Source organism: Homo sapiens, chromosome 2 (genome assembly GCF_000001405.40).
Source record: "Homo sapiens chromosome 2, GRCh38.p14 Primary Assembly".
Lineage (NCBI taxonomy): Eukaryota > Metazoa > Chordata > Mammalia > Primates > Hominidae > Homo > Homo sapiens.
Window position 1 is genome coordinate 232,998,511 of NC_000002.12, and position 22,274 is coordinate 233,020,784.

The 22,274-nt window shown below is 48.7% G+C and overlaps 1 protein-coding gene and 1 long non-coding RNA gene across 3 annotated transcripts in view; one reads left to right on the top strand and one right to left on the bottom strand.

The window, feature by feature from the left end:
* Positions 1-14,746, bottom strand: part of NGEF (neuronal guanine nucleotide exchange factor) — a 134,556-nt gene extending 119,810 nt beyond the window's left edge. Inside the window, exon 1 of one of the 2 annotated variants that reach the window (NM_019850.3) lies at positions 14,558-14,746. The gene's annotated coding sequence lies outside the window, so the exon portion shown is untranslated. Of the gene's footprint in view, positions 1-14,288 lie in introns of both variants that reach the window. The other variant, XM_011510923.4, reaches the window with a different exon arrangement.
* On the top strand, positions 14,104-17,375 carry LOC101928881 (uncharacterized). Its single transcript, NR_136325.1, has 3 exons — positions 14,104-14,459; positions 14,630-14,737; positions 17,197-17,375. It is a non-coding gene; the product is annotated as an uncharacterized LOC101928881 (long non-coding RNA).
* Positions 17,376-22,274: the final 4,899 nt, after the last annotated feature.

Below are 22,274 nucleotides of genomic sequence, written 5' to 3' on the forward strand. Positions count from 1 at the left end.
CTCTCTCTGGGGAACTAAGCCCTGGCACTCACCAGCCGGCTCATGCCATAGGGGGGCTACAGTCCGCTCAGTAAAGCTCTCCCTCCATGCTGGGTGAAGCCTTCTACACAGGGGGCCCTGGGCAGTTTGGGGGCAGGGGCTCAAAGCAGTGGCAGGTGTCTTTCCCACAGTGGCTGTGGTGGTGGATGGGTGGGTGTCTCCTGTTTCTTGTGCAGCCCTGTAGGTGCCAGGCCAGTCGTCTCTCTTCTTCTGATGTCTAACACCCCTAGGAAGGTGTTCCCTCCCAGCATGTCCTAGCAGGACTCCGGGCCAGGTCTCCCTGGGCACTCGACACACCCCAGGAGCCTCTGGTCCTATCTGTAGGGTGATGTTGCATATCTAGTTCATGGTATGAGGTTCAATATGGGGTCCTCAGTGGGTGGGTTCTGCCCGCTCATACAATGAGCATAACTGCGTGCCACACTGTGCTAGGCCTCTGGTCATGAGACAGACAGGGTCTCCTGGTTTGGGACCCCGGAACAGCAGGCAGAAGGGAATTTTCTAACATCCCCCATCTTTCCAAACCTGAACTTGCCTCTCCTCTGGCCTCTTTCCCTTCTGGAAGCTTCCCACATCTGAGCAGTGATACTGCAGGGATTAAATGAGATTATGATGATGGGCATGGCAGACACTCACCATGGCAATCCTCCCAGGCTGCCCTTTTTATTATTTGCAACTAAGTGAATGATCTGCTTTTTAAAATAGTTTTTACTTTTTGGTGTATAAAGAATCAACGGTTGTAAAATGTATATAATGTTCAATATAAAAATTGGATATAGAGTTAAAAAAAAAATCGAGTGTCTGTCAGAGCCCTCCCCTTGTCTCTGACCCAGTAAATGACATCTATGCTGCATTGTGTCGGGGACTGGTGGGTGGAACTGTTGAGTCCTGCCCCCTCTGGACATGCTGGTGACAGCAGCCACTCTAAGCCAGGTGGGAGAGGAGAGGGGTGCCTATTTTATTCAAGTGAAGTCCAGCAGCTGCTGCCATGTGTGACTGTGTCTCTCACATTTCCCTGCCATCAGACAGGGCATGAGCCAGAGGGAGAGAGCTGGGGACAAGGATTGCACCTTCTAGGATGAGTGGCTCAGCGAGCCTCCGCCCTTGGCAAGCTCCCGCCTGTGGGCAAGTTCTGCCACCCCAGCCAGAGGGAGGAGGGCCAGGGCTGCTGAGCTCCCAGGCCCAGCGCAAGGCAGACGCTACGTAAAAGTGGTGAACATCATTTCCAAAGCCCAGTGGGGATGTTTATGTGCAGGGGCTGGCATGACACACTGGGTCTTTGTTGAATTCTAGTCATTGGGTCATTTGCATGTCGGGGTTGCTGTGAACTCCTTTATTAACCCATAGTCAGGGAGATTTATAAAAAGGTCGGCTAAAAATGACAACACTAATATTGGTGTCTTAGTCTGCTAACACTGCCATAAAAAATACTGTAGACTAGGTGGTGTAAAGAACAGAAATGTATTTTACAACAGTTTTGGAACTGTAAGTCCAAGACCAGGGGTCCAGCATGGCCAGGCTCTGGTGAGGGCCCCATCCTGGCTTGCAGAGGCTGCCTTCTCTCTATGTCCTCACTGGGCCTTTCACCCACGCTGGAGGGCAGTGGTGCCATCATAGCTCACTGCAACCTCCACCACCCGGACTCAAGCGATCTTCCCGCCTCAGTCTCCTGAGTAGCTGGGACTATAGGCATACACTGCCATGCTTGGCTAATTTTTTTGTATTTTTTGTAGAGATGGGGTTTTGCCATGTTGCCAGGCTGATCTTGAACTCCTGGGCTCAAGCGATCCTCCTGCTTTGGCCTCCCAAAGTGCTGGGATTGCAGGTGTGAGCCACCGTGCCCAGCCTCTTCCTCTTTTTATGAGGGTACTGATTCCATCATGGGGCCCCACCCTCATGGCCTGGTTTAAACCTAAATGCCGCCAGGCGAGGTGGCTCACGCCTGTAATGCCAATCCCAGCACTTTGGGAGGCCGAGGCGGGTGGATCACGAGGTCAGGAGATTGAGACCATCCTGGCTAACACGGTGAAACCCCGTCTCTAGTAAAAAAAATACAAAAAATTAGCCGGGCGTGGTGGCGGGCGCCTGTAGTCCCAGCTACTCAGGAGGCTGAGGCAGGAGAATGGCGTGAACCTGGGAGGCGGAGCTTGCAGTGAGCCGAGATCGCGCCACTGCACTCCAGCTCGGGCGACAGAGCGAGACTCTGTCTCAAAAAAAAAAAAAAACGAAAAAACCTAAATGCCTCCCAGAGGTCCCATCTCCAATACCATCATCACACGGGGGGTTAGGGCATCAACGGCTGAATTCTAGGGGGAGACAAACATTTAGCCCATAACAACTGGAGAAGGAATGAAGGGAACACTTGGATTTCTGGTTGGGAAAGTCTCAGTTTAACCCGATTTCTCGAAACGGCGCCGTGAACCAGTGTTGTACCAGAGGCAGCCATCTCACCTTCCTGTTCCCGAGCCCCTTCCTTGGGAGCTGCCTTGTCCTCAGCCCTGGAGGGGGCTTCCCCCCATCCTGAGTGCCACTTCCCCCCATCCCACTGGCCACAGCTGACCAGAGCAGGGTGGAGCTTTGGCCCAGGAGGAATCAACCCAGAGGCTGGGCTGAACCAACCAGATTCCCCCTTCCGGAGATGAGGATTGGAGTGGCATTGAGTGCAACCGTGGCAGGTTCCTAGGCATGAGACAGACCTCTCGCTCAGGCCCAGCAGAGCAGGCAGGAGGCAACTCCTAACATCTCTCATCACCCCCAATATAAGCCTCTCCCTTCTGGAAGCTTCTCTCAAGTGTGCAGTGCTAGAAGCATCGAAAGCACCTTTGCACATCCTCATGTGAGCCTGTGAGTCTCCCCACGGGCCCATAGGTAGGGGGAGGTGACTCAGACCTGAGGAAGGTTTCCTGAGGATGTGAGCCCAGGAGTGGGCTGGAGGGATTCAGGCATGTAGAGGGTGCTGGGGCCTTGGTGGGGGGCAGAGAGGAGAGTGGGAATAGCCAGCGAGAACGGAAGGCGAGAGGGAGGCAGAGGGTGATGAGGTCGTGCGGGCCATGGGGCAGAAAGGCCAGGATTTCTATGCTGGCTTGGGTGAGTGAGTTTTTCAAGAGGCAGATGTGTTTTTAAAAACGAGCAGTAGCCTGGCCAACGTGCGAAACCCCAACTCTATTAAAAATACAAAAGTTAGCCAGGTGTGGTGGCGTGCGCCTGTAATCCCAGCTACTTTGGGAGGCCGAGGCGGGTGGATCACCTGAGGTCAGGAGTTTGAGACCAGCCTGGCCAACATGGTGAAACCCTGTCTCTACTAAAAATACAAAAATCAGCCAGTTGTGGTGGCGTGCACCTGTAATTGCAGCTACTTGGGAGGCTGAGGCAGGAGAATTGCTTGAACCCGGGAGACGGAGGTTGCCCTGAACCATTGCACTCCAGCCTGGGCAACAGAGAGAGACTCTGTCTTAAAAAATAATAATAATAAAATAAAAAAAAGAAAGTGAGCAGTAATGGCAGGGACATTGGGGGCTGTGGTTTTTTCCATTCGTCTCTCATCTAAAATAGTCACAGGATTTGGGTAAACCCTAGATCCTCCTGTCCTCCTTCCAGCTGCATGGGAGTTGAACCGGTAACTGTGAGGTAATTTTAGGAGGGACACGAGTCAAACGTTCAAAAAATCAGTAGTTTAATATTTTACTTATTCTAGAAAAAAACCCAGTTAGCACATCAAACCTGTGATTTCACAGATATTAAAGCTTAGGATGAAAATAAATGAAGTAAGAAATTTAATTTAAAGGCAATCTGTAGAAAATATTAATAAGACAGGCAGTACATGGACATGTTAAAAATTGTAAATGTGGCCAGACGTGGTGGCTCATGCCTGTAATCCCAGCACTTTGGGAGGCCGAGGCAGGAGGGTCACTTCAGGCCAGGAGTTCGAGACCAGCCTGGGCAACATAGCAAGACCCTGTCTCTACAAAAAATAAAAAATTAGCCAGGGGTGGTGGTGCACGCTTGTAGTCCCAGCTACTTGGAAGGCTGACGTGGGAGAATTCCTGGAGCCCAGGAGGTTGCAGTGAGTTATGATCACACCACTGCACTCCAGCTTGGGCAATAGAGAGAGACCCTGTCACACACACACAGAATATTGTAAATGTAGAAAGCAATTGATTGACGTTCAGGAAACACTAGATTGAAATGACCTCGGTAAGCCAGACACCAGAGCATGTTTCTGTTCGGAGCTAAGCCTTCCCTCCTCTCTTCATGTCAGCCTGGTCCACTGTGAGTGGCAGCAACAGCATTTGTGAACTTTAATGAAATACAGATTCTTGGGTTTACCTGGAGGCCTGGAGGGTGGGGCCCAGGCGTCACTGTGACAAGCCCCCTGGGGGACTCTGAGGAGCCTGGGCCCTTCTTACACTGACCTCAGCGAGTCTGCACATCTCCGGAAAGGGGGTGCAGAGTGTGTGTTTGTTCAGGTCTAGGGGGAGGGTGCACGCCTTTCACCAAATCCCAAGTGGGTCTCGGCCCCCTAAGCTTCCTGCAGTCCTTTTTAGCTGACACGTGATTGCCCATGCCCAGGAATCCATGTGAGTTAATCGTGAATAACCCAAACCCTCCCGGGAGGTGGCGGAGCATTCCTGGTGCATACAAGACAGCTCTGGCGAGTGTTTGGGGCCTCCCCACCCCAAGGAAGGCCTCTGGGACTACCTGGTGGCTGCCCCAGGTGGGGCTGCCCAGTCTCCAGGCCACTGGCCTCTGCTCCCAGACCCACAGCAGCGCGGGGTGCTCTTTCCCTCTGATGTCGATCCCAGCCTATTTCTGATCCTTCCTGAATTCTCCTTCTCCCTCTCTTGGCTTTTCTCTTCAAACGTCTCCTGACTAGGTTCTGGCAATGGTTCGCAGCTTAGATGGACCCTCGGGTATCCGCCTGGAGCAGCCCTGCCTGCACCTTCCCCTTCCTTGCTAATATCCTCTAAGGCTCTTTCCTGGAGGACTCAGTCCCATTTGTTCCTGGGCTGGCCTGAGAAGCCACTCCACACACATACCACCCTGCCCTACCACCCCCACTGAAGTCCATGGAGACGTCTGTTCATCCATCGGCTCCTTTCTCTTCTAGCAAATGTTCACTGAAAATCCACCTGCCCAGGGCCAGGCCCTGGAGAAACAAAGACGCAAAGGCCCAGCCCAGCAGGCCAGATGGTCACAATACAACATAAAAGTGCCAAGCTGAGGCCATCCAGGAGGCGCCCTGAGTCCCAGCCATGGGGATCTCGGATGTTCCAGAACTTGGCACACACTGCAGGTGTTCAAATCACATGTACCCGATATTGGTGGTTGTGCCCCTGGCCCGAGCTTGTTGCTCCAACTTGGCCCTTGTTGTGTGGCCCCTGAATTGCCTTTTTAACCAACAGACCCAGCATTTAATGCATGTTGGAGTTTTCTGACCTCCTTGCCTGGGTGAGGGCAGACAGATGTCACAGTGATTCAGTCACTCTGCAAGACAGGCCAGCAAGCCGACTTCATTTCTGCAGCAAGCACCCCCTTGATCTCTGTCACGATCATGTCATAACTTCTCTAGTTCCCCCAGCCTCCCACCTCACCTGCCCCTCTGTCCTTGTACCCAAGGTCCTTGAGAAAGCTGGAGGCTGGAGAGAGGAACTCTCCAGCAGCCCCTGACCCTGCAGCCCTGCAGGCACCTGTCCGGCTTCTCCCACCCCTTCCCTTCTTCTGGGGACTCCTCCCTCTGCTCTGCTTCCCAATGACCCCTCCCATGCTCCCTGCTTTCCACCTGCACCCACACACCTGAGCATGTCATTGGGACAGCTGCAGCCCTCTCATGGCCTCCTCCAGCCCTTCCCCATCCCCTGGTCGCAGCAGCAGCACTTCTTGGCCTTGACTCCAGGCTGATCTGGGCTAGGAGCTGCCCTTCAGCCCCCTGGAATCTGCTCTGCCCTCCAGGGTCCTCTTCCTGTCTAGATTCTAGTGTGGAGTGCTTGTCAAGGCCATCAGGGCAGAAAGATGAGGTAACTGCTGGGAACCCCAGAAAACACCCAAACCTGGTCCTTTGTGGAAAAACACATAGTGCATCACGTCACACCCATGCTCACAACACTCCTGAAGGCGTTTAGGAAGCAGCCCAAATGCCTTACCTGCCCTTACTGGCCCCTACCTTCCCTCCCCTTCCCCCTGCTCCCTCTCCCCTCACCCCCCATCGCTGAGAATCAGGCTCGGCTTTGCCTCAATTTCCCTTCCTCATCCTGCTGGGGGCCTTTCTTCGGGGCTGTGTGGACATTTGGTTGAGGCAAATTGCTTAATGGATAGAATGTACAAAATTTGGGTGATGGTTACACCAAAAGCCCAGACTTTGCCACTGTGCAATATATCCATGTAACAAAACTGCACTCGTGCCCCCTAAATTTAAACCAAAAACAAAAAAAAGACTTTCTTCCTAGTGTGAATGGCAGATCAGATACACACGGACCACCTTTCTCTACTCCTTCGTCAGGACAGACATTGCTAACCTATCACAGCACACTTTCCCTTCCAACCTAGATTGGGTCTCGTTGTCCTCGATGGATTCTGCGGGCAACCATTAGCATGGATCAGCACCAACACATGGATGCCCCCAATGTGCCATTTCTGGGATACTGACTGGTAAGTTCCCAGTCTGAGCAGCTATGGGGCTCTGAGTGCCCCATGGTTACAATCAGGAGGGCTGGAGCTGGCAGGTCGCTCCGCAGATGTGTTCCCACATGGAGAGTGCAGTGGGGGAGCAGTGCCCTTGGGGCTGTCTCTACACCCCCAAAACACAGGCCCTGAGCACCAGCAGGAAGCAGCCACCCTACCAAACACTTCTGCCCAGATTCTCAGCTGGGAAGGTGAGGCTTTCCTGACCCACAGGACCACTCCTTCCAGCGTGGATGCCCATGTGCTTACAAGGCCACCTTCTGTGGCAAAAAGTTCAGCATCTTGAGATGGGGAGATTATCCCAGATTACTCAGGTGGATGCAGTATATTCACAAGGCTCCTTATAAGAGGAAGGCAGAAGAGTCAGAGAGAGGTTTGAAGATGCTATGCTGCTGGATTTGAGGATGGAGGAAGAGACCACAAGCAAAGTAGTTCGGGCAGCCTCTGGAGGCTGGAAAAGGCAGGAAACATCCTCTCCCAGAGCCATCAGAAGGAAACAGTCCTGCCAGCAGCATGGATTTAGCCCAGTGAGAGCCATGTTGGGCTTCTTGTCTTCTAGAATTGTAAGATTTGCATTGTTTTTTGATTTGTTTTGTTTTGGTTTTTTGAGACAGAGTCTTGCTCTGCCACCCAGGCTGGAGTTCAGTGGCATGATCTCAGCCCACCGCAACCTCTGCCTCCTGGGTTCAAGCGATTCTCCTGCCTCAGCCTCCCAAGTAGCTGGAATTACAGGCACCTGCCACCACATCTGGCTAATTTTTGTATTTTTTGTAGAGACGGGGTTTTGTAGTGTTTGTCAAGCTGGTCTCGAACTCTTGACCTCAAGTGATCCGCCCACCTTGGCCTCCCAAAATCTGGGATTACAGGCGTGAGCCACTGCGCCTGGCCTGCATTGTTTTAAGCCACAGTTTGTGGTAATTTTTGACAGCAGCAATTGAAAGCTAACACACTCTTCTTAGTGATGGAGCTCTAGCTCTATTGGGTTCACCATTATTGAGTTCCCCAAAACTCTTTCCACACCAGCATTTACCAAGCCATTTTTTGAAAAAATTGGAGCATCAGGGTTTTGCTGGGAAAAATGCCTTCACTTCTCAAGCAATATTATTCACTGGAGGGAAGTCATCATTGGGTCTAATGTGCAGGTGCCTCAAGGGAGATTTGGGGGTTGTAGAGGCTTCTGGGCTGATGACAGGTAAGCTTGAATGGCATCATCAAAAGAAGGGGGCACCTCCAACTTAGCCAAGCACAGAGTATGAGGAGCTGGTTTGGTGAAATCTTCCCAGACAGCTGATTCTCTTGATATTTGAGGGTTCTTGTGTACACATTCCTGTTTAGTGCTCAATCCTCTAACTATGTGCACTCATAAATTCACTAATAAATGCTGCTGAAAGTTAACTGTTGTATTGGAAAAAGTGATCCTTTTTCTTTCTCATGGCATATCAGGAAAATAATAGCTAAAATTTTGCAAGGGCCAAGAGCTTTCTGTGCACCATCTCATTGAACACTCATGGCGATCCTGTATGATCTTTACTGTACTTGTCCTATTTCTTTCACTTTTAGAGAGGAGGACATGGAGCATGGTGGGTCAGAGAGGTTAACCGACTCATCCGAGGTCACACAGCTAGCAGGTGGTGGAGGCGGGATTCAAACCCAGGCAGCCCAGCTCCAGCAAAGTGCTTAAAAACATGATTTCTAAACTGTTTCTCACCACCTTTAATTTAAAACATGTTGGGCCAGGCATGGTAGGTCATGCTTGTATACAATCCCAGCCCTTTGGGGCCTGAGGCGGGCTGATCACTTGAGTCCAGGAGTTCGAGACCAGCCTGGTCAACATGGAGAAACCCCATTTCTACAAAAAATACAAAAATTAGCCAGATGTGATGGCACACATCTGTGGTCTCAGCTACTTGGGAGGCTGAGATGGGAGGATCGCTTGAGCCTGAGAGGTCAAGGGTGCAATGAGCCATGATCCCACCACTGCACTCCAGCCTGAGCAACAGAGCAAGACCCTGTCTCAAATAAATAAATAAATAAATACAATTCTAACTTTTAAAGCAAATAGCGTTTCTCAAGAAAACAGCTTTAACGATCACAGAGTATTTGGAGGGGGAACAAAGGTAGATAATGGCCCAGCCTAGGTTTCTAGGAAGAACCCTTTGGCCCGCCAGGTAGCCGCCAGGTAGCTCTGTGTCTGAGCCCTGCTCAGGCTGATCGTGGGTCTCCAGTGGGGACAACTCACAGAGAAGAGCAGCGCAAACTGGTGCCTAGTGAAGGCTGAGAAAGGGAGGAGGATGCACACCGGGGGCTTTTAACCTGGCAGGACCCTAGCACTGCTCACATGAGAAGATGCTGGCTGTCTATGCATGCTACTTAATTTTGGCATTTTCTGTGATATTTCTCCAATGAATACACAAATTAGCTATAATAATGTTTTCCCAAACACAGCCTAGATGAGCCTGTTGATTTTAGATTGAGCATCCAAACGACTTCATTATGACCCTGAGCTCCATTTCTTACCCTTGACTTGGAACCCAAGGTGGCCAATGGCGAATGACTTTGCTCTTGATTTAGGAATGCTTCCAAAGAGGCCAGAAATCTGTAGAAAGTTGCAAGTGACTGCTCTGATATCTCAGGCACCAGGAAAAGTTGTCCAGGCGCCAGATGCCCTTTTCAATCCAGAAACAACTTTAAAATCATTTTAAAGTCCAAAGCTAATTTCCTAAAAAGGAACTTGGCAGAAAGGAAGGCTTTCCTCCAACGCTCAAGAATCCACCAAGGAATGTTTTTCTCACTCAGATGAGAGCAAAACTGTCTTGATCTTTGTCCTCACTCTCATGAGTGGATTTATGACTTGGGAGCATCCTGAAAAATAAAACCCATATGTGAGGGTTCTAAAAACTTCAAATACTTGGAAATTTTTCACCCCATTGGTGGGATTTAATAGGAATCTATTTTCGCTCAGCAACACTGAGTGTATCAGCTGAGAGTAGGAAATTGAGTTTTCTTGATCTGCTTATGTGGATTGCGGTAAAGGGTATGGAGGCAGTTGTGGGGGTCTGAAATGATGGTGGAGAGCTTGGGAGAGGAGCAGGCAGTTTTGCCATCTTTTCACTTTGGGCCCAGAGAGCAATTGCATCCAGCAATTGCTTGTTGATGGGCTGCATGAGGTACTCTCCAGGGATTTGGCCTTCATGGAGTTCACTGTCATGTAGCCTGAAAGACTGATACAAGCAGGTTGCACTAACTTGTACATAAGATAGAGCAACACTCCAAAAGTCAGCACCTTGGGACTGACCCTGGCCACTTTGGGGCGGGACCTGGGGGTCAAGGGCCTTAGGCCCAGCTTGCCTTCCATATCCCCTGTCACTGCCTCTGTGGTTCCCAAGCTTCTCTCATCCCTTGAAGGGCACTGTCCAAGTTGCTTGCCCTTCTGCAGAGCCTATATTTTGAAGGATTTGTCTCTGGTAGGAAACATACTCATTAACTAATAGTGAATTGGCACCTCTGTTTCTTTTCAGTTTTTCAATAGATATTTCTTTTTCCTTTTTTTAAAAAACTTTACCATCTGCATCTTTTTTTTTTTTTCTTTTTTGAGACGGAGTCTTGCTCTGTGGCCCAGGCTTAGTGCAGTGGTTTGATCTTGGCTCACTGCAACCTCCACCTCCCTGGTTCAAGTGATTCTCCTGCCTCAGCCTCCCGAGTAGCTGGGATTACAGGTGCCACTACGCCCAGTTAATTTTTGTATATTTAGTAGAGACAGGGTTTTGCCATGTTGGCCAGGCTGGTCTTGAACTCCTGGCCTCAAGTGATCTGCCCACCTTGGCCTCCAAAAATGCTGAGATTACAGGTGTGAGCCACCACACCCGGCCCATCTTCATAATTTTTAAGTGTGCAGTTCAGTGACAATAAGTATCTTTATTCTTTTTCACTCCTTCATCCCTGCGTCCCTGCTCCACTTCCTGGCCTCCAGTAACCAGCAGTCTACTGTCTGTCATCATGAGACCCACTTCACAGTTTTAGCTCCCACATATGAGTGAGAACACGAGATATATGTCTTTCTATGCTTGGTTTATCTCATTTGACATAATGGCCTCCACTTCTATCCATGTTGCTGCCCAAAACTCCTTTTTATTGATCTATTTATTTTTAGAGATGGGGGTCTTGCTATTTTGCCCAGGCTGGATCTGAATTTGCGATCCTCCCACCTCAGCCTCCAGAGTAGCTGGGACTACAGGACACCCCACTGCACCCGGTTCATATACCCATTTTTAAACTCATCAGCAACTTGGGGCCAGGTGCAGTGGCTCACTCTTCTAATCCCAGCACTTTGGGAGGCCAAGGTGGGAGGATTGCTGGAGTGTAAGAGTTTGGGATGAGCCTGGGCAAGATGGTGAGAACCCATCTCTACAGAAAAAAAAAAAAAGTAAAACTCCTGGATGATTGGAGGTCAGAGCTTCTAGCTTTGGGAGACATGGTGCTGGTGCATGAAGCTCCAGCCCAAAGTGAAGGCAACTGAGGCACAGCCACCAGGTGCAGGGTGCAGAAGTGAGGGATGAATTTCCCATGGGACACGCTGGCCATCCAGACCCCCACTCTCATCTCTGTGGACCTCTGGGGTCCTGGCATCTTGGGTTGGGCCATCCCCTCCACCTTCCCTCCACTCCACCTGTCCTGTCTCTCTTTTTTTGAATTGGAGTCTTCCTCTTGTCACCTTGCCTGTAGTGCAATGGCGTGAACTTGGCTCACTGCAACCTCTGCCTCCTGGGTTCAAGCCATTCTCCTGCCTCAGCCTCCTGAGTAGCTGCGATTACAGGGGTCCACCACCATGCCAATTTTTGTATTTTTAGTAGAGATGGGGTTTCACTATGTTGACCAGACTGGTCTTGAACTTCTGACCTCTGGTAATCCATGCGCCTCAGCCTCCCAAAGTGCTGGGATTACAGGTGTGAGCCAGCACGCCCAGCTGGCATCTTTTAAACAGACCTCATGCCTCCCCTGTCTCTGCCTCCACTGGCCCAACCCTTACTGCAGGGCTCCCTCCCTTTTGCTAAAACCCTGCTGTCCCTTCACCTGGAATGTGCTATCTGTGAACGTATGCTATTTAGAGAACCTGGAGCATTCATTCTGAGTGAGTGTGAAAAGAATTACTACCTTATTTTCAAGGTAGTAATGCTTGCTTTATAATACATCAAACCACACCCCCAGTTCTTCTCCTCCTCCTGGAAAATCATTAATAAGTGATGGAAGATTGTTGAATGATGGCCAGCTCAGAGGCCACCTCCTCCATGCAGGCCTTGCTGATCATCCATCCCTTTGATGGTGCCCATCCTCCTCATTTGAACGTGTGATTTTTTTTTTTCCTTGTCCACAGGCAAAGTGAGTTGAGGCAGGAAGATTGTGAGATGGCCTCACCCAGGCTCCCAGGTCCTTAATCAACCACCTGAGCTAGTTTCCCAAAAGCAGCCCACAGAGGGTGCTCCAGCAAATGGCCCCTCCTCAGTGCTCAGACCCCATGTGGTCTCCCACGGCCCTGGCCTCCAGGATGGCTGCCAAACAAAGGGAGGAGGAGTAAGGCTGAAGTCCTCAGCCTTCTGGGGTGGGTCCTCCAGTCTGGAGGCAGAATTCCACCCCCTGGTCTGACCTCTCCCAAGGTGGGGAGAGGTGGTCCCAGGCCAAGGGAAGGAATTTTTCCTGAGGCCCAGCAGCCTCCTGAAGACACCATCATGGTAGCAGAGGGGGCTTAGGTGCGGGGAGAAGGGGGGTCTGAAAAGAGGCAGCCCATCCAGGCTCAGAGATGGAACCCCCTGCTCCGCTGGGCCACGGTGCCTCTCAGCCTCAGGATCCTATCACCGTTGTTGGGGTGAGAGGGCTGGTGTGCTCTTTTCACCAAGCGGGGTTTCTGGCCTGGCCTCGGGGGTGTGGGACACAGCATCGCTTCATCTCCACTAGCCTGAGGGCCACCATTGTCCCATCTGTGTCCCCAGCCCCACTTCAAAGCCTCACACATACACTGTGCACAGCAATTATCTATGAAGGAGTAAAGGAATTTTTGCCATTGGGGTTGTGCTGGGGGGTGACTTCAGAGCATCAGAGCTGACTCCTTACTCGGGAAGCAATGGGCCCATGTAGATGGGGAAGGGACGTCATCTTGGGAGACGGGATGTCCGACTTGGTGCTGGTGGCTCACCAGCTTCTTGGGACAAACAGCAGCTCCTGCGCCCCTGGTAGAGCCAGCAGGCTTGGGTGGTTAGGTTTGGTCTCCTCTGAGAGGCTCTGGGTGGCCCCACAACATCTGGGCTATTTTGTTACTGGTACAAGCTTCCGGTCTCCCACAGGCCAAGGGAAGTTCTTAAAGCAATGAAAAAAAAAAAAAAAAAGGAACAGAGACAGAGTCTTGCCAGGTTGCCCAGGTTGGAATGCAGTGATATGATCATAGCCCACCGCATGACTTCTGGGCTCAAGCAGCCCTCCTGCCTCTGCCTCCTGAGTGGCTGAGACTACAGGCATGCATCAGCTCTTCTTAAAGCAATTCATCTTCCCCCATGTCTAGCCTCATCTGTGTCCCCAGCCCCACTGGGGCAGAAAGCTGTGGAATGTTACTCACACTGTCATTGGATCAACCCCTGGCTTTCCTGTGGGGATCCCCTCCCTGGGAGGGGTTCCCATGACAATTTGGGCTCCAGAAAGGGATGTGGGAGGAGAGTGCGGTGGAGGGAGGTGGTCTGTGGTCTCCCTTCATGGACCAGAAAGCTTGACCCCCAAGGGGACCCTGGCTTCTACTTCCTCAGAGCTAAGCAGTGCCAAGGGGCAGCCTGAGACATGGGCAAAGGGGAAGCCTAAATGGAAAAAGAGAGAGAGAGAGAGAGAAAGAGAGAAGGGGCAGGGAGGACAAAGACACATGGCAAGTGTCCAAGCTGGAACATTCCCACCAGTGGCCTTATTGCATTAAGGATTTTCCCAAAAAGCAGAAATACACTGATAGTCAATGGAACATAGCAGAGCTGTCACGAGCCCAGGAAACACAAGTCCCACCTCTACACAGCCAGAGACTGTGTGACTGTCCCAAATTTTAAATCAAGATAGACAATAAGAACCTACCACTTTCACATCCAAGAAAACTGTGTCCCTACACATTTCAGTCACACCGTGCTGTGGCTTGAGGCCAGCCAGATGCAAAAATCAGGAAGGTTCTGAGGGGTAGGGCCTTCTGTCTTTCTGAAAGGGGCCCCTGAGCGGAGGGGGCAGTGCTGGGGGAGCTAAAGCGCAGTGGGCTGTCACTTCACGACTATGACTTCTGTTTCCCAAGTGCACTTCCTGACCCTGAGATTTGTGCCATGGCACACAGGAATCAGGGCACTTCCGTTTACATATACGCTCATTATCAGGACTGGCGTCGTGGGTGTGGGGCCTGGGCAGTCACAGGGCCCTGTTCTTAGAAGGTGCCCCGGCTTGCTTTAATGCTGTGTTGTTGTCCTTTTGAAAGCCTTACTATTTTAACAAGGGGCCCTGCATTTTTATATTGCACAGGGCCCTGCAATTATGCAGCCATTCCTGCTTTTGATCTCACTTACCCCACAGCCATAATGGAAGAGCGCCTGGAAGGAGTCCTTATCCTGATTCCCAGATGGTGAAACTGAGTGCCAGGAGGGGCAGTGCTGAAGCCGAGACCAGACAGGATCCCTCGGGTGGAATCCAGGGCTGCTGTTTCTCTTGGGGGCTCCTCCTCAGTGAATGGATGGGTGGTAATCTCCTTTCCTACCTGTCCTAGCGGTAGCCTCTGTTCCTTCTCTTGTTTTATCTCATTTTATTTTTTTAAAAAATACCAAAACCATTCTCTCACCTGCCAGAGAGGAGCTCATAGGAGTTGGGCTTCCTCAGAGAGTGTTCCTCCCTCGTCCCCTGTCCTGTCCAGGCACCTGCGAGCAGGATGGTGTGTCCCCGGCTAAATCCACAGGCGCTCCACTCTGTCCCAGAGAGCCCACAGCCAAAAACTTCGTCCTGTCCTGGAAAAGCTTCACTGGTAAGCATTCCCGACCTTTAGACCTGCCTTGGCCCATAGCTGGCCACGAGCCCATAACGATCACTTCCCGGCTGGGTGTTTACCTTCCTGGGCCCCATGGGTTGAGCCAGGGTGGCAGCCACATACCTGACACAAAAGTGGTGCAGGAGGGAAGGGCTATCTGAGGGGAAGGCTGGGCATGGCTGGAATACCCGCCGCCCGCCCAGTGCAAGATAATGCTGATGGTCACACCAAGAGGGGCCCGTGGCTCAGCTGGCCCACCAACCCCAAGCATTGGCCAAGCCAGCTGCACGGCCCTCAAATCTGAGATTTGGGAGAGGCTTTGGGGTCCTCCAGGGTTCTAGTCACTTCCTGCCATGGCCATCTGGCCTTAACTCAATCACTTCCAGGCATGGAACACTCACTGCTTTGTAAGGCATCTTGCTCCATTATTATTATTATTATTATTATTATTATTATTATTATTATTCCCTCTAATAGCTTCCTTTAATCCAGTGCTTACTACATGACAGGCACTGGGCTAAGTACATTACATAATCTATGTAATCCTTGTGTTGTCACTATGACCAGAGAATCATGCCCATTTTAAAGATGCAGAAACAGAGGCTCAAGAAATTGATCATCTTGCTCAAAGCCCCACAGCTAGTAAGTTGGGGATCCAGGATTCAAACCCAAGCCAACTAGTATCAAAACCACTACCATCATTTGCCAAGTTTAATTGCTACATCATCCATCTTTATATAAAACTCAAATCAGCGTTTGTTTTAGCTATCTGTTCTGGAAACAAATTAACTCAAAGTGTGTGGCTTGAAATAACACTCATTTGTCATCTCAGTTTCTGTGGCTAGAAGTCTGGGCACTGCTTGGCTGGGTTCTCTGCTCAGGGTTTCTCATAAGTTGCCATCCAAGTGTTGGAGGGGCTGAGGTCTCATCTCATGGCTCCACTAGGGGGGATCCACTTCCAAGCTGCTGGTGTTGGCAGGATTCAGTTTCTTAGGGCTGTAGGATGAAGGCCTCAGCCCCTCTCAGCTGTCAGCTGTGGCCACTATCAGTCCTTTGCCATGTGGGCCTCTCCGCCCTGGCAGCTCGTTGCATCAGAGAGGGCTATGGAGAGAGTCTGGGAAGAGGTAGGTCAGTCTTTTGTAATATACTCAAGGATGTGATATTCCATCACTTCTGGCATATTCTACTCGTTAGAAGGAAGTCATCAGGCACAGCCTACACTCAAAGGTAGGGGATTACACAGGGCACAATACCAGGGGTGGGGGTCCCTGAGGGCCATCTTTGAAAGTTCCCACAGCCATCTGATTGCCACAAAACATGGGTTTCAGTTTTGTCCCTGAAAGCCAGATTGAAGTAGTCTCTCATCTATTCTCTCACCCATCCATCCACCCATCCACCCATCCATCCACCCATCCACCCATCCATCCGTCCATCCATCCATCCACCATCCATCCACCCATCCATCCATCATCCACCCATCCACCCATCCATCCACCCATCCATCCATCCATTATCCACCCATCCACCCATCCATCCACCCATCCACACTTCCATCCACCCACCCATCCATCCACCCACCCTTCCATCCATCCATCCACCCACCATCTATCCATCCAACCATCCATCCATCCATCCATCCATCCATCCATCCATCCATCCATCCACCCAACCATCTACTCATCCATTCATCCACCCACTCATCCACCCATTCATCTACCCAACCATCTACTCATCCATTCATCCACCCACTCATCCACCCATTCATCTACCCATCCATCTACTCAACTACCCATCCACCCACCCATTCATCCATCCACCCATCCATCTATCCACCCATCCACCCATCCATCTATCCACCCATCCACCCATCCATCTATCCACCCATCCATCCACCATCCATCCATCCACCATCCATCCCTTCACCCATCCATCCATCCACCCACCATCTATCCATCCATCCACCCACCCATCCACCCACCAATCCACCCACCCACCTACTCATCCATTCATCCACCCACTCATCCACACATCCACCCACTTATCCACACATCCATCTACCCATCCATCTACTCATCCACCCATCCACCCACCCATTCATCCATCCACCCATCCACCCATCCAGTCATCCACCCATCCATCCACCCATCCACCCATCCATCTATCCATCCACCATCCATCCATCCACTCATCCACTTACCCATATATCCATCCAGCCATCCATCCACCCATCCACCCATCCATCTATCCATCCACCATCCATCCATCCACTCATCCATTTACCCATATATCCATCCAGCCATCCACCCAGCCATCCACCCATTTATCCAACCTTTCCTTCATTCATTCAACAAACATTTGAGCAGGGCACTATAAACCAGATCCCGCATTAGGCTCAAGAGATATTAAAATAAGTGCATTAACTCCCTCTTTCCCCTCTCTGTCCCTTGCCACCAAAGCCTTCCAACAGAGCCTTCCTGCATGCCGAGGTTGAAGAGGTGTCCGCTGAGTGCTCTGTCTTCTGGGAATTTTGGCTGTTTCCTGCAACCTATCATCAGATGCCACACTTATGAGACCCTCATCCTTCTGCTCACTCTCTTCCATTGTTTCACTCATTAAAAATATATATTTTAAGCAATTCCTAAATGTAAGTGTTTGTAGCGGGTGTGTGTGTGTGTGTGTGTGTGTGTGTGTGTGTGTGTGTGCGTGTAGGAATAGATCTGAGTGGGACCATGGGGATGCAGCAGGGACCTCCTGGGTGGGCAGGGCCAGCAAGGGGCACAGGTAGAGGCCTGAGCCCTGGACTCACCTGCCTGTGGACCTGTCCCCACAACCCAGCTCCCCAGGCCCAGGGCTGAGGGAATGAACTCGTGAGAAGAGGGTGAAGGGGCCAGTGGGGTTGTCATGTTCAGGTGCCCAGTGGGATGACTTTGAAAATTAAAATTATAAGTCTTTCACGCAGGAGACCATTTCTTTCCTATTGAGCACCTAGTACCAGTAGGTACTGTGCTAGGCCCTGGGGCTGCAATTGGGTGGCTTTCTAAAGTGAATCTAATTTCCTTTTTTGTCCTTTGCTCTATCTCACTGCCTCAGAACAGGCCCCCATCAACTCCTACCTGACAATTGCAATGTCCTTTAAATGGGTCTCTTGGCTTCAGTCTCTCCCAATTGCTTCCAGCCCTCAGCACCCCATCCCACTCAGTAGCCATGTGAATCTGCTGACACAGATCTGATCTTGTCACTTTCTTGCTCAAAAACATTTTATATAACCTACGTTAACAGTTTTATGAGTGTTCTTCCAGAAATGTTCTATATATACATAATCTCTACCTCCCTGCCTCTCTCTCCCTCTCTCTCTCTCTCCCTTGCATGTCTGTGTGCATACACACACACACACACACACACACACACACACACACACCTATATCCTTTGTTTTACTTAGGCAGGATCTCAACATGTATGTTCTGTTCTGTATTACTGTTTTGGTGGTTTTCCAATTTAGCACACTTTGAAGTTCTTCACTGTTTTTAATGGCTGTCGGCTGTTGTGCTATAGAAATATTCTGGGATGGTACTGAGAAATCCCTTTCAGGGCCTGGGGTGTCCTTGACCCGAAGCTTTTGTGATGCTTTTCTGAGTGATAATTTTGATAGATCATTAATGAGCTTAGTAGTCATAAGCCAATTGTTTCAAAGGAATTTTCATAATTTTGCATTTGTAGGAATTGAATAATTAATATAATGAGTTTAATTCATTATAAGACTTTTTTTTTAAGATGATAAAATACCTTCTCATGTTAAGTTTGCTTTAAGGGGTGGGAAGAGGAGAAGAATCTAAATGTTTTAATTGTTATTGTTTTGGTTATTTGAAAAGTAAAATTTAAATATATAAAGATGATGGACCAGGCCTGGTTAAGAAAAAGAACTGAACAGAAGCAGGAATACTTATCAAAACACCTACTGAGTACTTGTGAACCAGGCACTGTTCTAAGTGCTTTACAAGGATTAACATGTTTAATCTTCCCTACAGTCTTAGGATGAGGAAGCCAGATCTAAAGGGGTTAAAGCTTTCCCGAGATCCCATAAATTTTCTGGAACATACAGAAATGCTGCATATATATTTTTTGTAATGTAAATATGTAATTCAATTCAAAACAAGAAAAGTACATGTTCAGGTGCCACAAATGAAGAGATAATTCTATATTTACCTCGGTAAGCTGAGTACTTTAGGGACTGTAGCATACATTCCTTATGGTGTTTGTTATAAATTAATGGTTATGGGGAAACAAGAATCAAAGCCTCTGAACTTGAACACAGCAGGAAGCTTGACGAGGTTGATTATAGATCAGAAGTAAAAAAATGTCCCAGGCCATGGATAGAAATAGAATTACCCACAAGAATGTGGAGAACAAGCTGGATCCACACATGTACTCATGATGTACAAAAATCCCAAGATGGAAATGGAGAAAAAAATTTGAGAATTTGTGACCCCTTAAGACTTATGCAGAGGCAACTAGGGGGAGGTCGCCACAATCTAGGTCACTGGTAGGAACAATTCCACCACCACACTGAAAGGATAATTCCCATTGAAGATGAGCTCATAGGCAGAAATTATAAAACATATTGGTCTTAAGGAAGACCAATATGAAGAATATAATTTATTAAACATGATAATACCAAATTGTAAAACATTTGAGAAAGTCCAACATAAAGAAATACATCCCACAAAAATGGGAGAGTTGACACATGAGAAAATAGAAACAATAGAACAATATTTAAAAAGACCTTAAAAACTAAGTATGCGTTTCATTTCAGAAGTGGGTGTGTGACATAATTACCTTCTTGGGATTTCAAAGTACAACCATTAAGACTCTCCTGGCCTCAGTCAGATGATAACAAGTTTTAGCAAACTTGGCATTCATAAGTACTTGACCTTGGATGGAGGAAAAGGTTAGAAATGTTTGTGTGTGAAGAAGGTAAGTGTATTAGTTTGCTAGGGCTGCTATAACTAATTACCACAGACTGGGAGTCTTAAGCAACAGAAACTTCTTACAGTTCTGGAGGCTGAAAGTTCAAGATCAAGGTATCAGCAGATTTGTTTTTCAGAGACCTCTCTCCTTGGCTTGCACGTGGTGGCTTTCTCTCTGTGTTCTGTCTTTCCTCTGTGTGTGCACACGCTTTTGTGTCCTAATTTTCTCTTCTTATAAGGACACCAATCTTATTGGATTAGGGCCCACCCGTATGACCACATTTTACTTTAATTACCTCTTTAAAGGCCCCATTGGCCAGGCACAGTGCCTCACGCTTGTAATCCCAGAACTTTGGGAGGCTGAGGCAGGTGGATCACCTGAGGTCAGGAGTTCGAGACCAGCCTTACCAACATGATGAAACCCCGTCTCTACTAAAAATACAAAATTAGCTGGATGTGGTGGCACACATCTGTAATCCCAGCTACTCAGGAGGCTGAGGCTGGGGCAATTGCTTGAAACTGGGAGGTGGAGGTTGCAGTGAGCCAAGATTGCATCATTGCACTCCAGCCTATGCAACAGAGTGAGACTCCATCTCTAAATAAATAAATAAATAAATAAGGCTCTATCTTCAAATATAGTCACATTCTGAAGTACTGGGGGTGAAGATTTCAACGTATGAATTTTGAGATTACACAATTTAGCCCATAACAGCTCAAATGCCTTTGTTTCTGCTTTTAAATCTCAATCAACAAATCACTAATTGTGTGACCTTGGAATAGTCACATAATCACATTTTGCCTCATTTTCTGCTTTGCAAAATTGGGGTGATAAACAGCACCTGTTTCATAGAGTTGCTGTTAGAATTAAATAAATTAATGTATGTAAAACTGTTAGAAATAAATACACTTAAAGTGCTTAATGAGATAAAGGAATACAATCTATCAAATAAGAAAAGAAAATTATTATTTTTTAAGGTAGAAGTTGTAGAAATAAAAAATATTGATGTAGGCCGGGCACAGTGGCTCATGCCTGCAATCCTAGCACTTTTGGAGGCCAAGGCAGGTGGATCACTTGAGGTCAGGAGTTTAAAACCAGCCTGGCCAACATGGTGAAACCCTGTCTCTACTAAATATATAAAAAAATTAGCTGGGCCTGGTGGCGGGTGCCTGTAATCCCAGCTACTTGGGAGGCTGAGGCAGGAGAATCGCTTGAACCCAGGAGGCGGAGGTTGCAGTGAGCCAAGATTGTGCCACTGCACTCCAGCCTGGGTGACAGAGTGAGACTCCATCTCAAATATACATATAAAATATTAAATAGAGATGACTTTAGATTTAGTGAGATTTAAAGGGAATGCTTCCAGTTTTTGCCCATTCAGTGTGATACTGGCTGTGGGTTTGTCATAAATAGCTCTTATTATTTTGAGATACGTCCCATCATGCACACGTATGTTTATTGTGGCACTATTCACAATAGCAAAGACTTGGAACCAACCCAAATGTCCATCAATGATAGACTGGATTAAGAAAATGTGGCACATATACACCATGGAATACTATGCAGCCATAAAAAAGGATGAGTTCATGTCCTTTGTAGGGACATGGATAAAGCTGGAAACCATCATTCTCAGCAAACTATCACAAGGGCAAAAAACCAAACACTGCATGTTCTCACTCATAGGTGGGAATTGAACAATGAGAACACTTGGACACAGGAAGAGGAACATCACACACCGGGGCCTGTCGTGGGGTAGGGGGAGTGGGGAGGGATAGCATTAGGAGATACACTTAATGTAAATGACAAGTTAATGGGTGCAGCACACCAACATGGCACATGTATACATATGTAACAAACCTGCAGGTTGTGCACATGTACCCTAGAACTTAAAGTATAATAATAATAATAAAAAAGATTTAGTGAGATTTAGTGATTTGGAAGAGATATCTGAGAAAATTACCCAGAATGAAGCACCAGCAGGTAAAGACATGGAAAATATGAAAGAAGCAAAAACAAAATCTACAGAATAAATTTTAAAAACTCAAGGAGGAGAGGTTACATTCAAAGAAATAATGACTGAGGATTTTTCTAGGTTTGGAGAAAGACCTGAATTCTGGGTTGAAAAACTGTGCTGAGTCCTAGGCTGGGTGAATGAAAGTGAATTCACACCTGAACAGCCCATAATGGAACTGCAGAACATCAAGGAGAAAGAAAAAATCATAAAAGCCATCAAAAAGAAAACAGATTAAAGTAATGACGATCCTGGAAAGCCAGGCACCATCCCCTGACCACAGGGATTTTTCTCCACACCTCTCCCCTCCCTTCCTCAGAATCCAACAGAGCACCCACTGTGTGCTGGGCCCTGTGCTCTCCACTGAAATGTTCTCCTCTGCTTCTTACATTTCACTTTTCTTCCTGGTCTAGCCCAGGTCTTACCTCTTCCTCCAGGAAGTCTTCCTGACTGCACCTGTTCTCTCCACTTCCCACTGTCACTGTCACAGTCCATTCTAAACCTGCCTTCACTGGCCTCTGTTTCTTGCGTGTTGGTCTTTCCTGCCATGTAAATAGGAAGCA